Below are 17,206 nucleotides of genomic sequence, written 5' to 3'. Positions count from 1 at the left end.
AACAATGGCATTCACAGCAACCTGGATGGAATTGGAGATTATTATTCTAAGTGAAGTAAGTCAGGAATGGAAAATCAAACATCAAATGTTCTCACTTATATGTGGGAGTTAAGCTATGAGACACCAAGGCATAAGAATGATACATTGGACTTCGGGGATTCAGGGGAAAGGGTGGGGAGTGGCGAAGGATAAAAGACTACATATTGGGTACAATGTACATTGCTCAGGTGATGGGTGCACCAAAATCTCAGAAATCACCACTAAAGAACTTATTCATGTAACCAAACACCACCTGTTCCCCAAAACCTATTGAAATAAAAAAATTTTTTTTAAAAACAAATACTAGTGAAGGTAAAATTTAAATCTGCCTTCATCATCATCCAATACATCCTCTTCCCCCAAAGTAGCTACTGTTAACAGTCTGATGTGACTCTTTCTTTAAAAAATTCAATGTATTTACAAATATTATGTTTGAAATGATTTCCAAAGATTGTATTATTCAAATTTATCTCTGATTTATTAATTTATTTATTTTAATTTATTTTATTTTACTGTTTGAGGCAGGGTCTTGCTCTGTTGCCCAGGCTGTAGTGCAGTGATTCAATCAGGGCTCACTGCAGCCTCATCCTCCTGGAATCAAATGATCCTCTTATCTCAGCCTCCCAAGTAGGTGGGACAACAGGCATTTGCTACCATTCCCAACTAATTCTTTACGTATTTATTTACTTTTGTACAGAGATCTAGAGTCTCACTATGTTGCCCAGGTAGGTCTTGAACTCTTGGACTTGAGCAATCCTCAGACCTCGGCCTCCCAAAGTGCCGTAATTATAAGCATGGGCCACCATGCCCGGTCTATTTTGTTTTTTATATAATAATATATATTTAGTGGTTATTCTATCTTAATAAATAGGAGTCTGTCTCATTCTTTGTAAACTGTTACATAAAATAAATGCAACTTACTATAAAAAGGAGGTAGGCAAAATTTATGTGACTCCTCTCCTTTTAATTAATATCTATGTTGTTTTCAACATTTTACCATTACAAATATTGAAATGGTTATTACTGAAGATCTAAATTTATGCTCATGGGTGGTTATTTCTGTAGGACAGATTCCTATAAATAAAGTTGCATATGCATTTCTAATTTTGATACTCTCACTGACAGTGGAAAAATAAAAGCTAATTATCACTGAGCACTCACGATGGGCCAGGTGCTATTCTCAGCATTTTCCATGGATTACCATATTTAATTTCAAAATAACTCTGTAATATAGGCACTGTTATTGATGAGAAAAATAGAGCAGAGAGATTCAGTAACTTGCCTAAAGTCACACAGGGCAGGATGCAATCCCAGGTGGTGTGACTTCATAGCCCATGTTTCTACCAGTTTGAATTTCTTGTCACTTAACGAGAATATCCATTTTTAAGCAATGTAGGCACCAATGGATTTAAACAGCTAGAATTTTATTTATTTTTTACCTTAATAAAAATTGTATCTTTTGATTTCCATGTATGTGCCCTTGATATCTTGTGGGATTGAGAATTTTTTCATATTTATTAGCCCTTTACATAACTCAGATTAATTGTCCTCTTATATTCTATGCCTATTTTTTCATGAATATTTTTAATAATTGATCACAAGTAGTTCTTGTATATTCTGATTGTTGAGCATTTATTATATATCTATTGCTATATTTTTCTTACTCTGTCACTTTTCTTTGAATTTGTTATGTTTTCTCCCACAAAAAAGATATTAAAAATTTTATAATCAAATATGCAAGTCTTTTGTTTATGGTGTCAAGAATTTTAAACCTTCTGTAGGACAATGTTTCCAACTTAAGGTAAGAAAACTATTTTTCTATATTTATTATAATGCTTTCTAAATTTTGTTTTTAAAACGTTTAATAAATCCGTGTATTATTCTTATATATAATGTGAATTTAAAAGATAACTTTTTCAATGGTTATTAAATTGTCAAAACTATTTCTTAAACTCTTACTTCTTTTCTAATTGATTTGAAGTGAAACTCATCACAAATTCTCAAATACCACAGATTGAATTCTGGACTCTCTTTTTTGTTCTTTTAATTGATTTGGCCAGTCTTTGGATAATGCCAGGTTTTGAGCAAAATTAATTCCTATATCTCTAGAATATGATGATTTTACTTGTGATAAGACAAGTTGATCTTATTGTATTTCTTATTTGAAATACTCTTAGCTATTTCTACTAATTTATACTCTTGGCAAATTAAGAATCAGATTGTTGAGCTCTATTTTTAAAAATGGGATTTTGATTATAACCTCTGTTTTGTAGAGCAGGAGACAGATCAGAAAGAGGAAGGCGCTTGCTCAAGGTCATGTGTGTAAATAATTTCCTTCTAGGGCAGGTATCGTGTCTTGACCAGAGTCATGACCCTAAGGACCTCATCCATATCCCTCTCCTCTGGGACCTCGTATCTTCTCTACCCCTGTCCAATGGGCAAACTGCAATGAACCCTTCAAGGTCTTGCCCAAGCCCTACCTCTTCCTTGATTCCACTCATGCAGCACATCTGCCCCAAGTCCAGTTTTGTGTCCCTCTTCTGTGCCTCCACAGCACCCAACATCCCCCCAAACACCACCTTTTCCACCCTATACTGCCATGGACTGCTTCTGTGTCTGTGAGAGTGGGTATAATCTGGAGGGGGGGTCTGGTCTCTTCTTCTCATTTTCTGTTTACTTGTGGCAGTTTGAAACAAAGGAGTCTTGCATTCTGAAACAACTGTAGAGAAGCACCCGAACCCAGCTGATGGAGGTCAAATTCTACTTTAAATCCACCTTGGGGGGGGGTCATTGGCAGGTAGATGATGATGATACATTTTGAAAAGTGAAGGTCCTTTGTAAAATCACAAATTTCGGTAAGTACTTGTTTGCTCAGAAATATTCCAACTTGTCTCTTTCCTGGCATGTGGAAGAATTGCTGTTCCTTGCCCTGTTGAAGTTAGGCCTGGCAATATGCTCTGCTTTTACCAACTAGATAGGAGCAAAAATGGTATGTGTCCCTTCCAGGTGACACTTTTAAAAGCCAGTGTATGGGCCACAGGTTCTCTTTGCTCTGCCCAAGTGATCATGGAAGCATGAGTTGAGATTGAGGCTCCATTGGCACAGTTCCCTGACTGACCAAGATGAATAGATCACTCTGCCCACTATGATGTTCATGTAGCAAAGCAGTGTGTTTGCTGTCAAGCCACTTGGATCTGGGGATTGCTATCAAAGTGTAGTCTAGCCTGTCCTGACAAAACTAGTTAATTCCATTGGTCAATGCAGATTCTCTTTTATTAGGAATGTGGGGGAGCTTTAAGGATCATTCTGGTGCCAACAGCCTCTTGGTTCCTTTAAACATACTTCTTCAAAGATACTTGACTCAGATTTTCTTATACTTTAAATAATTTTTATTTCCTTTATACGCTGCTTGTCCTGAAGCCAAAAGAAGCTCTTTAAAATCAAAGCAGAACATTGTTGATTATAAAGAAATCTTCAGAGGATGTGTCATAGAGAATCATAAGTTTGGTTTTACACAAAATGCAAATTGCATTAAATCATCCTCTGACGTTCAGCCAGAATGTCTAGTTAGTTGATTCCTTAATCCATCACAGGTATTAAGGGCCCTGCCATATGCCCTACTCAAGGGGTAAGTAGGGGAAGAGGGTAGTCCTGTGTTCAAGGAGGTCACATGATAGTTGTAGGCAGTTTTTAAACAATGCTGATGGATAAAATGTTAAGGCTGTAGTAGAGATTATGTGCAAAGTCATATGGAACACAGAGCAAGGTGAACCAGCCTTATTGAGAGAAATATGTCATAGAACAGGAAGCATTTAAGTTAAATTTTGAAGAATTTGCAGAGGTTCAGTAAAGTGTCCAAGAAGTAGATGCACATTCCAGGCAATGAGATCAAAATGTGTAAAAACATGACAGTACATGGTTACACCCTCAAACCAATGCTAGCCAATGTGTCATGCATACAACCAACTTCCTCTAAGGTCCGGCAGGTAACATGCATAGGTGAAACAAGACAAGCATGCTACACCTAGGAATGATGGGACAGTGATGAACTGGCAGCACGAGCCCTGTCTGGACAACGAGCAGTCAATTCTCAGCTCCAGGTCATTCCTGCCCAATCCTAGTCCAACATTCCCAGACTTTCCCTATCCCCTTTTTTAGGCAAGCCATAAATCCAGATTTCCATGGAAAATCTTCTGATGTATACTTTGTGAATAGAACAAAACTTGTTCACAGGACCAGGGCTGATACTGAAAATATTTAGCAGTTAGTATAGCAGGAGCCCTGAAAAAATCAGACGTACACTGAGCATAATCAACAAGTATGGTCTTTGCAGTGAATCTTGGCTGAACATTATTTCTTCATGGGACACATTGGCCAACCCTTGGCCACCAGTTTGTGAGCCCTGATCCCAAATAGAAGGAGAAGGAACAAGCAGGAGGAGTGGGAGGGTTGTGAAAAGAAGGCTAGAATCTGGCCGCAGTGGATTTTAAATATACTATGTCAGTTGGCTTTTTCTTTGTAACAAAACACTCCCAAAATGTAATAGCTTAAAGCAACCATTTATTTAGCTCATGATTTCTGTAGGGCAGCAGTTGGGCTGGGCTGACTCACTCATACATCTGTCATGTCCCACTTAAACCATGCCCCAAAGAGTTAAAGAAACCAGTAACTAACAAAAATTCTTGAGTTTACAGGATGGAAGATAAAAAAAAAAAAAAAAAAAGAAAGAAACAACTTGCTGAAATGCTGAAACTCCCTCCTCTTGTAAGAGAACAAAATTAGCTGAAATCAGTTAGAACCAATGTAGCCCCCTGAAGTCTGCGCAGAACAAGCTTGCTGACATCCCAGCCTGAAATTCCACCACGTTTCATACTAACTCCCCCTGAATCTGCACATAACCCATGAGATAGCGTGAAGAGATAACTGCTCATACCCAAGGACTTTCCATGCCTCCTCTTTCCTTCCACCAATCACCTGCTAATCTCAGAATCCACCCCCTAAACCTTTTCTAGTCAAATTACAGACTTCAAGCCAGCACAAGAAGACAGATTTGAGCTGGATTCCTATCTCCTTGTTAGTCAACTTGCAATAAAAAGCTTTTCTTTTCTCAGAATCTGGTGTCATAGTATTGGCTTCTAGCACATTGACCAGTCAGCCCCTTTTCCTTGGGACTCCACCAGCTGTCAGGGCTGGTGGTCTAGAGGGGCCTCAGTTAAGGTACTTGTCTCTTGTCCATATGGACTGTCATCCTCCAACCAGCTAGTCCAGCTTCATTAACATGTCACAGGGTTCCAACAGCAGCAAGAGAAAATAATCACTATTGCCCAGTGCTTTTCAGTTCTCTCTTGTGTCACAATGGCTAACATCCCAGGCAAGTCACATGGCTGAGCCCAGAGGTAGAAGAGGAGATATGGTGGGGGAAAAGGGACAAAGAAATCAAGGAAGGGCAAGAGTTTGTGACCATCTTTGCCTTCTACCACATTTGCTATTAAGATTGCACAAAGAGACTGGGCGCAGTGGCTCACACCTGTAATCCCAGCACTTTGGGAGGCCGAGGTGGGTGGATCACCTGAGGTCAGGAGTTCGAGACCAGCCTGACCAACATGGTGAAACCCCACCTCTACTAAAAATACAAAATTAGCTGGGCGTGGTAGTGAGCACCTGTAATCCCAGCTACTCGGGAGGCTGAGGTAGGAGAATCGCTTGAACCTGGGAGGCAGATGTTGCAGTGAGCCGAGATCACACCATTGCACTCCAGCCTGGGCAACAAGAGTGAAATTCGGTCTCAAGAAAAAAAAAAAAAAAAAGATTGCACAAAGGGTTGAATTATCAAATCAGACTCATAAGAATTAGAGATCTTATTCAGTATCAAACTTTACTAATAATACAAAAAAGCTATTCTGCTTTTATGCAATATGCAGATGAAGCATGAGAAGTCTGAGACCACCAATGTTGCATCTTGGGCCCTTTTGCATCACAGCAGAATGTGCCCTGATGTATAACACGTGGGGCTTCTAAGTGATGCATACCGTTCATCACTGACCCAAAGGGAACTTTTAAGCATGAAATAAATCCATTTTATACTCTGATAATTAAATACCCAAAACTGACACTTTCTAGCAGGCCATGCCCCAGAAATCTATACTTTTCAGGTTTGTTTACCACACCAATTGATCAAGTATATCCTGCTGAAAGAATTCTATTGATAAGGACTCTCTTATTATCATTCAATCACTAAAAACCATCAGAAATTTGAATAGAATCTTTCCACATTTGACCAGGATAACTCCTTTTTCCCCTTATTTCTCCTTCTCCTCTTCTTCCTCCTCCTCTTCTTTCTCTTATTCCTCCTCCTCCTCCTTTGCTTCCTTTTTCTTTCTTTTCTTCCTTTCTCTCTTTTTTCTCTTTCTCTTTCTTCTTTCTCTCTTTCTTCTTTCTTTCTCTCTTTCTCTTTCCTCTTCTCTTCTTCTTCCTCCTCCTCCTGCTTCCTACTCTCCTTCTCATTCTTCTTCATAATCTCTCCTTGAAATTATCCAGCTTAAAAAGGATAGTTAACAGATCAGCTGCTAATCTTTTTCTTCCCAACCATACTTTGGATTTTCACCTTTAATATTAACTTCTGTAAAAAAGCATCCAAATATTTGGAGCCATTTATTTTCTCCCTTCACCATGTGTATGTGTGCATGCTATGCTTATACACAAAAATGGGGATTACTTATCATTTATGGATAAGGAACTGTGCATTTAGATGTATTTAATTTCTGTGGAGCCAGAATTCCATCGCTAGAAAGAATCTTATTTCATAAAGTAATCTGATTTCTGCATAAAGTATCAGGTAACTGTGGAGTGGTCTTCCCTGACAGGAGAAATGGGATCTGTTAGAGAGTAAAAAGGTAACTTGCTATTTGAACTAGAAGTTCCATGATGGGTTTCAGAAGAAATTCCAAAATATTCTAGGCCCAGTCTACCCTTATCTTGGAAGTCTCACTTGCATTCTCAATACAAATGAACAAGATTATTGCTAAGATTTCTTCTAAAACTGACATTTATTTGATGAGGTTTAGGGTAGTTTAATAGGAAGTGCCAAATACATGTTTAGGAAGAGTGGAATGAACTCTGACTTATTTGGATGTTTCTGATGCCCTATGCAGAACATGTTGTCTCTAGAATTCTTGTGTAAAATTATATCTTGAACATTGGGAACATACACTCCCTCACGTGGCCTGGAGAATTCCAGAAAGCTACACTGTGATCAAAAGATAGCAGGATATCAAGGTCATTTGAAAGGTTCAGGTTCTTCTTTTTTTGAACTGCTTGCTACTTATCCTAGTAAAATGCAAAGATGTGTGGGTGCATGATATTCTGAACACATCAAAAATAAAGTGGAAGTGGACAGTCAACCTAAAACAGTAAAAAAATGGCTCTATACAGGTTCTGAAGCATCAAGTAAAGAATAGCTACCATGCAAATCAAACAAAAAAAGCCAAGGTTAGTGTTTTACAGAAAGAGACAAATGAGTCTATACTTTCCAAAACGGAAGTATTCACTAGTGTACAATAAAGGCCAAAGCTGCAGCATCCTTAGAGATCCTTAGAGAGGCCAGTGCTTCCTACAGAGTGGTACATGGGGTTGATACATGAGTTTATGATGTTATGGTACACGAATAAACTTTTTATTTTCGTATTTATGTATTCTAGTTCAAATACAAAAAATAATTATGTATTTATTTTAATGAGTGCAATAAATACCTATTTTTTGTTTTGGGGAGTTTTTTTCTTTATTTTCAAGTTTTTACTACCCACTATTCAATCTGTCTTCCATTAGCACCTTGTTTTCCCTATTGGGGAATCTCCCATTTTGTATACTCCTGAGGACCTTGGCCACCTATGGAAGTCAAAGGGACCAGATTTTCATCCTCCTCACACCTGTCCCAAGGTAGGCAGAGTGCAAGTGTGACTTGAGCTTGGCCAACCAGACACTGTCCCTGTGATTTTGAATTCTGAGCAGATAGATGATATGGTGACATGGGTGTCTGATAGCCACATTCATTGTGGTGACAGTGGTGTGGCAGTGGTGCTTCGCAGAGACCAGTCATCCCAGTTTCATGCAGTGGTTCTGCTGTCTAGTCAACCAGGACAACTTCAATCCCTACTGTCTTCAAGCCTGATCTTCTAGCCTCCTAAAGTTACCTGAGCCCCGAGAATCTCTCCAATAAGATCTCACTCTGCTTAAGATGGCTGAAAGATTTTCAATTGCTTTCAACCAAGGACCCTCTGACTGATACAGTGTTAATTAGAAAACATGTAATTAGCAAATCAAAGCCATGATTTTATGGATATTATTCTTTCATAAATGGCAAAGTCTTAAAACAGGGTTGATTTAAATTAACTGGAAAGAAAAGCTTTAAGAGAACAGTGGTGTGTGATTACAAGAAAACAGTGATTATTAGGAAGACAGTGAATTGGCTCAAATCTCATTTATAGAAAATGAATGTGGGTCCTAGGGAGGCTAAGAGACACCAGAAAGTCCCCAGTAGCTCAGCTGCAGACCCTACCCAGCTTCAGGTCCCCTGACTCTATATGGGTCTCACAATCTACCCACATGTGAGGGACAGAGCCCAGCTCCCACACTAAGGGTCCTGCCCCATCACACAGCTGGGATCATCTTGGGTTCTAAATTCACAGAGGCCTAGGTCAGCAGCCAGCACTTTCATCCTTAATCACTTAAAAAAAAGCCTTCTTTTTTTCTGTTTATTTTATTTTATTTTATTTTTTGTCTTCAAACTTGGTATTGACAAGCCTGACAGCATGGAGCACATGTACCACGAATATTCTGTTTTTCATTGAGTCATTCACTGCTGAGGAATAACACCCTCTCCCCATACAGAAGTTCTAAACAGATTAATTGTGATAGTTTTATTCCTCAAGAAACCTCACACTCCAGCCCATCAATAACCCCCTTGAAAACAATAACCTTCTGTGAAAACACCCAGAACCCCTTGACCTATGGCTCAGTGGGAGAACTGTTGTTTTTCTGAAGCCATCTCATCAGCATGACTCAGGAGTGCAGTAATTAGTCTGACAAGGGAATAAAGTCCTGTTTCCCTTACATTTAAAAATCAACTCTTGAAATAATTTTCCACAAAGAGCCAACAGAGACCTATCCCTTTATATTAACTACCAACTGAAGCATTCCCTGGTGGCGTTTCTCCATCCTGGTCCATGCCAATTACAGCATCGTAACCTAGAATGAAGTGAAAATTGTCCATGTGGGAGACAGGGCTCTGCAATGGGAAGGAGAAGAGATCGGAGTGAGATAATCCTGGATTCTAACCTTAGTCTTGCGGCTGAGTGGTGCTTGAGGGGACAGTTGGACAGAGGAAGGCATCCTAGGCAGAGGGAAGAACACAAATGGAGCCATGGAACACAAAACCATGTCAGGAGATGAGTGAACTTCAGGAAGGGGGATGTGTCTGGAAAGCAGGGCGTGAGAGGTGTCTGGAGGCAGGAGACGGGGGCTGCAACTGATATTAAGGAGACAAGATTTTATCTGGGAGGCTGTGTGGGGTATGAAGAGAGCACTGTTGTGCAGTCAGACAGATCTGTGTTGGAGGTCTAGCTCTGCCACTTTCCAGCTGTGAAACTGGGATAACAAAGCTTCCTTTGTAGAGTTACTTTGTGATTTAGAGCTATTGCTTGCAAAGACTGTGGCACCATGCCTGGCTCAGGCACATTTTTTCATAAACAGTTGCTTCTTTGAGGAACTGAGTGGCCACTGAACGTATCCATTGTGGTGTTGAAAGATCTTCCCACCAATGCATGGAGCATAGATTTACAGAAAACACCTTTAAAAAGGCAAACTGTTCAAGGTCATTGCACTTTACTGGGTGAGGAAGAGCCTGGGGCAGAGCAGTGAATGGGGGCACAGTTGGTACAGGGAGGAGGGGCAGATGCAAGAGGTATTTGTTAAGTCAAAGGTACAGGTCCTGGCATTGATTGTACATGGCAAGGAGAGCATTGGCGACCGGCGGGGAGTGGGGCACGGGTTAGGAGTAGTAAGAGTTCAGGATGATTGCCAGGTTTTGCGTGAATAATGGGTCCATAGTGCAGCCCCCAACAAAGATGTAGAATGTGACCAGGTGTGATGGCTTGTGCCTATAAACTCAGCACTTTGGAAGGCTGAGGCAGGAGGATTGCTTCATCCCAGGAGTTTAAGACCAGCCTGGGCAACATAGTGAAACCCCATCTCTACCAAAAACAAATTAGACAGACATGGTGGTGCATGCCTGTAGTCCCAGCTACTTGGGAGACTGAGGTGGGAGGATCACTTGAGCCCAGGAGGCAGAGGTTGCAGTGAGCCATTGCACTCCAGCCTGGGTGACAGGGTGATACCCAGTCACAAAAAAAAAAAAAAAAAAAAAAAAAAAAGAATATAGAATGTCAGAAAAGAAGAAACAGTTGTTGTAGGGAGAGGTTGATTCTCAGGTAGAAGCTAAGCCAAAGCCAGAACCAGAAGGAAAAAAATATAATTAAGTTCCTGGGTTATTTACCTACATTCAGTTGAAAATTCATGTTTTTTTTTTTTGTTTTTTGTTTTTTGTTTTTTAATATGCAGAGGCAAAACATCATAATGAAAGAACACTGAACTTGGATTCCCATGACCAGGCATGCAAACTTTGTCTACCTCCTAACTACTGTGTAATTTGGGGAAAATTGCTAAGCCCGTCTGAGCTTCAGTTTTCTAGTCTGTAAAGTAGGGACAATGACAATCAGTCCTGCCGCCCCCATCAGCTGAAGCACAGTGTGCAATGTGCAGGACTTCTCACCAATCACAGGCTTGTCCTCAGGGTCTCGGTCCCTAGTGCACAGACCATTCAAACATGGGGCCCATCCTGTGGTACCTCTCAATGCTGTGATTCTGAGGGTCATGGATGCTCCTCTGTTCTGAGAAAGCGGGTGCGGAGTTCCACATTCTCCTGGATGCCTTCCATGACAGGGCTCGCTGAGAGACTCGGGAGCGGGGACAGCACGCTCCTTTGTGGGAACACACAACACTCCCTGCCATCTGCCTGAGGCAGGGAGAAAAGAAGACAATGTTCTGTCCTCAGCAGGAACTGGCGCTATCAGAAAGAGATGGAACAAGAAGATCTGTTCCATTTCAAGCCCAAGAGAGTGACCACTGATAGCTGTCCTCAGGATTCATTGAGGACTGGATGAGAGGGAATGTGGAAGAAAATTTTAGTAGGAAGGAAATAAATATGGAGGCTTGGGGGGAGAGAAGGAAGGGAGGGAGGGAGGGAGGGAGACATGGCTGGAGGAGGAGAGGAAGGAAGGAGTGGGAGGAAGGGAGGCAGGAAAGGAAGGAGAAGACAGAAAGAAGTCTACCATTTCTCGAGCCGATCCGATGTATTAGGTAAGGTGCCAAGCTTTTTCATGCCGTCTGTCATTTAATTCCCACAACAACTCTTATTTTACAGGTAAGTAAAATTATGAAGCTGAGGCCAAGAATTGTCAAGTGCCTTACCCGAGGTTAAATCAATTTTCTGAGCCACAACCTGTCTTTTCCACTAAAACATGCCACTTCCCCTTTTGATCCTCTATGTACTCAGAGTGTAAGTGAAGTCCTGGAGGAACTACAAAGTTAGACACCATGAAGAGGGGCATAGCATCCCATTGGAAACATGGGATACCTCATGCTCTTCTGGGCCAGTCTCCCCTGTTGGTCTGCTGTACTCAGTTCTGGGCTATGCCAGAGAGGAGAGAGGAGCCCTGACAACCTGACAGCCAGAGCGGGGCAGGGAGGGTGGTGATGGGTTTCCAAATCAAGTCCTATGACTGAAGAGGCTGGGAGCACTTGGCTGTCGAAGTGACCACCAGTAAGGACAGGCAGCTGTCTTGAGCCAGGTGCTGTCCTGAAGTGGGGATGGAAGTGATCGCAGTTCCAGAGGCCTGAGCTCAGAGAGCTGCAATTTTGTTTCTCATGGAGCTGGGCAACCTTCTTCCAGACCAATAGTTTGGTTCATTTCCTCTTCTTCTTCTTCTTTTTTTTTTTTTTTTTTTTTTGAGATGGAGTTTTGATCTTGTCGCCCCGGCTGGAGTGTGATGGCATGATCTTGGCTCACTGCAGCCTCCACCTCCTGGGATCAAGCAATTATCCAGCCTCAGCCTCCCAAGTAGCTGGGATTACAGGCACCCAACACCACACCTGGCTAAGTTTTGTATTTTTAGTAGAGACAGTGTTTCACCATGTTGGCCAGCTGGTATTGAACTCCTGACCTCAGGTGATCCGCCAGCCTCGGCCTCCCAAAGTGCTGGGATTACAGGAGTGAGCCACCGCACCCAGCCAAAGACTGCTGCTGCTTTTTTTTGAAGTGTTATTTAAAAATTTGTACAGAGTTTGCTTAGAGAGACTGAGAGCTCTGAGGGGCATTCGATGACCAAGAGGCCCTGGTTTCATTATGCCGAGACCTAGTGAGTCTCTTCTGGACTCAAATGTGTGCAAAACTAAGTCAAGGCAGTCTGGAAACCAGCCATAGTTATTCACGCTTGTCCCTCACTGTGAGCACATTATTAAAGCTCTTTCTTCAGTCACATGGGGTAAAATCAAAACTCGAGGAGTTCTGATTAGTAAATTGACCTCCATCTCCTTGTGTTCTTAGTGATCAAAACCTAGATTGTCTCCAAAGCAAGTACTAGTGGCCCGGCCTTAATCCAGTTGCACCTGCTCATGCTCTAGAATTCAGCCCAGCTGGCATCTCTTCGAGGCACCATTCTTGGCTCTCTTGGTCAGGTGAGGTTCTCCTTGTTGCTTCCATAACACCATCCCTCAATGTGTTCCTTCCTTGTATTGCAATGATGTTTAGATGTGCCTGCCTCCCTCACAAGACTTGGAGATACATATTATTACCACCATTGCCCTCAGTTAAGAGGCAAGACTGTTGGGGCTCAGAGAAATTAAGTCACTTCTCTAAGGTCACAGAGCTAGTGTGTAATAGAGCTAAGATTTAAATCTATCTCACCTCGGTTTCACTCCAAAGCTTGTAATTTTTTTTCATTTCAGACTGTTTCTACAACAAATAGATTTCTAAAGTGCCTCTACAGAAAATGTGTTTTCTCTAAAATGAACACCAAACTGGACACTTATGAGTGCCCCCAAGGGTCTTGAGGTGATGGAATAGTCTGCCTTTCAAAGAGAATGATCTTACAATTTACAAGTTTGCCTCTCAATTAACTGAGCACTGTGGCTCTTTATTTAATGTTATTTCTACATAATCTAATTTTGGCTGCAGGTTAATGGACCCATAGGGAGTTACTGCTAGTTCAGTTTCAAACGAATTCAGCAGCATTCCCAGATTATTGGTTGTTAATGGGATCACCCAGCTGTTTTTACTTCCTCCCCATCCTTCTCGAGGTGACTACAGAGAAGAGGACAAAAACGGATGCAGTGGGACTCACTTTTAGATCACTGGGACTACTGAGCTCTCCCTCTGCCGGCTTCCTGGCCACACTGGGTTCCAGCCCCTAGAAAACCACCTGGTCATAGCCAGAGCCAGCATGACCTGCACTATTATTCATCCAAACACATTGACTGAGCACCTAGTGTGCCCAAGGCACTATTCTGGTGCAGTTGGAGACACAGAGATGGATCAAGCATGGTGTGAAGGAAGAATATAAATCGGTTGGGTTAAATCACTAAAATCACTAAAACTGAGCTGTGGTTTCCTTACATGCAGCGTTCATCATCAATATGCCTATCTTCAATTGTTTGTTGTTTATTTATGTAATGTTGACTGAGAATCTGCATGCACCAGATATTTTTCTGAGGATACCTGGGTGATTCCAATCTTGCAGGTTTATGGTCTCAAAAGGGATATAGACAAATTAATAAGCAGCAAATAGTTCAGGGTGATTGGCCAACAGCAGGGAAGTATGAGAGACCATGAGAACACAAAGGAAACATTCCTCTTCAGGACTAAGAGGTCAGGCAAATCTTCCTGGAAGATTTTACAGTTTATTTCTGAGTTTGCCCTGAATATGAACACAGGCCAGCCAGAACACGAATAGCAGTCTCCCAGAGGTGGGAGAGGAGAAAAATTTTAGTCAAAAGGAACAACATGAGCAGATATGCAGGATGAGAAAAAGTAAGTCATCTTGGGAAAGTATGATGGAGAATATGTTTTGAGTGGAGTTCAAGTAAGGATAATAGTGAAGAGGGAGGGGTCTAGAGAAGAGGAGCATGTATGAGACATAAAGAGTCTTGAAAACCTGGAAAAGGAGATGGATTAGACTTCAACTTGTAGACAGCAGAGAGTGGAGGTTCCCAGAGATGTGTGTGGAGCAAATGCGGTCTTTCTGCAAATCACCCAACTGTTCTATGCAGACTTGACTTGGGCCTGGAAAAATTAGAGTCTGGGGCAACTGGACCACAGTTGTGGCCAGGACTATTGAGGAAACAATAAAGAGGGAGATAAGAGGGACCAATTTGAAGGAAAGTTGGCAATAAGTACCAGCAGAACTTGATAGACATGAAATGAGTTCATGGAACTGCAAGCATTAGGCTTTTAGAAAACTACAAAGTAGAAAAGCAAATGCAGTTCACATAAGCCCAGATTTCCACATTGTATGAATTGATGACACCTAAATTAATGATGTTTTTCTATATTGGGATACTAGATCAAAGTCATTTTACTCAAGATTTTATAAATGTAATAGTATTTGAAGAAGAAAGAGTTTGGAAGAATAATAGCACAAGATGGCTTTGATTGTAGGCTTTGGGGTGAATCAGGGTATGGTAGGTCATGGGACCCTTCCCCAGATGATGATAGACAAGGTAATAAGTGGCTTCCACTTTAATGAGGGCCAGAGCTTCTTTTTCAAAGGGTTATTAAATTAGGCTTCACTGATGGCATATTTAGTTTGCTTTAGAAAGGGAAAAAATGGTTTCTCAAAGGCATGGCAACACGAAGTTCGATGGTCTTTTCCATGATACTCCACTCGTGACATTGCCTCAGAGCTGGAGATTAGCTACAGGAGGCAGAATGCCTTATTAGATTTTTTAAAGCATGAAACGTCTTCACTCTGGAACAGGTGATGTTTCACGTTTTCTGAAAATCACACCCCAGGTTTTGTGCTCCAAATGTGTGAGCAGAAGTGGAAGAACACACTGTCTGGAGGCAGGCCAGCATGGCTGGAAACACCTGCTTTCGCCTAAGCCAGCTGCACAAGTTTGGGGAAAATAACTTAGTCTCTCTAGTATGTTGCTTTATCTGTGAAATGAGGCTGAGGGTGATAGCTCACCTTGCAGGGCAACTGTAAAGCTCAGATCAGAGCATTCCTTCCTCCCTTCCCTGACACTGAGTTTTGTTTTCTGCACAAGATGAGGAGGATAAATCCTGACTTGCCTGCCTTGCAGGTTGCTGAGAGCTCAAGGGACAATGAAGGCTTAGAGTAAAAAATGTGTTTGTGTGATGTCACAAGACAGATTGGCAGCAGAATAGAAGCTAAGATCAAGGTGTTTAAACATTCCATACCCTCTCCATTATGCCAGGCAAATTAATGCCCAAGTCCCCGAGACACAAGGGAATGTGTCTGGCTTTCCCTTTTGTGACATTGGCTAGTTCAGGAATAATTGGAAAGTGAGCCCAGAACCCTCATACACAAACCCTCATGTACAATCCTTGATTCTGAATCCCAACATCTTCTCTAACTGCAAGCTCCCCTTGGTGAATCTCCCTTCCAATCTCTCCTCAGCAGCTTCCTTCTCTGGGCCCATGTTGCTCTAGGCACCTACCCTCACAAGGGCCTTTGTCATAACTGGATCTGAGGGATCCATGTGAACACTGTCTGCTCCCCTTCAAATGAATGCCTGAAGGGCAGGACTACAGATACAGGACTCCTATCCGTAATCCCTCCTGACACTCAGCTCCCGTCCAGCACTGCAGGCACTCAATAGAGCTGCCAGAATTAAATATGTTAAAAGAAACAACTTCCAGATTGTTCACTTGACTAACTTAAAATATGCTTTATTTGGAAAAGGTAGGAGGGACGTAATTAATGGTCTCTACCATCATCCAGGCTGAGCTGATGCTGTGATTTGAAAGGGGACTCTTCCTAGATTGCTTACATCCACATTACCCCAACAGCTCTTCCATTCTTCTGGTGCCCAGATCTGGGTCATCAGGAGAGGGTTGATGAAGAGGAAGCACAGGAAGTAAGTCAAACATTGACAGCTTAACCTTAATTCTTTAAAATATCCTCAGCAATAAGGTTGGGGATGGGGGTGTTTAATGAAGGCTAGCTAGGGGACAGGCATGTTTGTTTTAAAGATTAAGTGATAATCTGAATAATTCAATGATAAGTATATAAGGCACACAGCAATTCACCTTAGGATATAGTAGATGCCGAAATAGATGTTACCGTATCTCACCTTCATTTTTCAGGTACTTTTACCTGGTTATAGCTACCATATTCCCAGAATAATGCAGAGGTCTCTTCCTTTAATTCTCAGTATGAAAAACCTCTCTCCATTTTAAATCTGCTTTACCTAGAATTCTAGAATTCTCAGACTTAGTTCAATATAGCCATCCTTTTTTTAGAGCTTTAGAGAGAGTACAGACCAGGTGTGAGTCATTCCATCTTGTGACTTAGTGTGTCTTAGAGTCTGAGTCATAAAACCACAAAGGCACAGAACATTTGGATGGGAAACCAAAGGGAGAAAAAATTAAAGTTTCTCTTGGCACACAAATAATCTTGAATCAAATTTGTAACAGAATGTTGAAACTGAAGGCTCATGGTAAGCCTCATGATAAGCACTAGGAGGTAACAGATGAGAGATTCAAATCCAGGTCTCCACATATGGAATTTACGAAGGAAATGTCAGAGGACCTGCCCAAGCAGTAGGCTCCTCTTCCTCATTGTGTTTTTTTTTTTCTTTTACTTCTTTTTTTTTTTTTTTTTGAGACATAGTCTCGCTCTGTTGCCCAGGCTGGAGTAAAGTGGTGCGACCTGGACTCACTGCAACCTTCATCTCCCGGGTTCAAGCGATTCTCCCGCCTCAGCATCCCAAGTAGCTGGGATTACAGGCATGTGCCACCACACCCAGCTAATTTTTGTATTTTTGGTAGAGACGGGATTTCACCATGTTGGCCAGGCTGGTCTCAAACTCCTGA

General features: G+C 41.6%; 1 long non-coding RNA gene across 3 annotated transcripts in view; it reads right to left on the bottom strand.

The window, feature by feature from the left end:
* The window catches only part of LINC01591 (long intergenic non-protein coding RNA 1591), a 65,589-nt gene extending 54,266 nt beyond the window's left edge, over positions 1-11,323 (bottom strand). For all 3 annotated transcript variants that reach the window (NR_026706.2, NR_120395.1, NR_120396.1), the window contains exon 1: positions 10,940-11,323. This is a non-coding gene — a long non-coding RNA (long intergenic non-protein coding RNA 1591). The remainder of the gene's footprint in view (positions 1-10,939) is intronic.
* Positions 11,324-17,206: the final 5,883 nt, after the last annotated feature.

The sequence above is a fragment of the Homo sapiens genome, chromosome 8 (assembly GCF_000001405.40).
Source record: "Homo sapiens chromosome 8, GRCh38.p14 Primary Assembly".
Taxonomy (NCBI): domain Eukaryota; kingdom Metazoa; phylum Chordata; class Mammalia; order Primates; family Hominidae; genus Homo; species Homo sapiens.
This window is presented reverse-complemented; position numbering and strand designations above follow the sequence as displayed.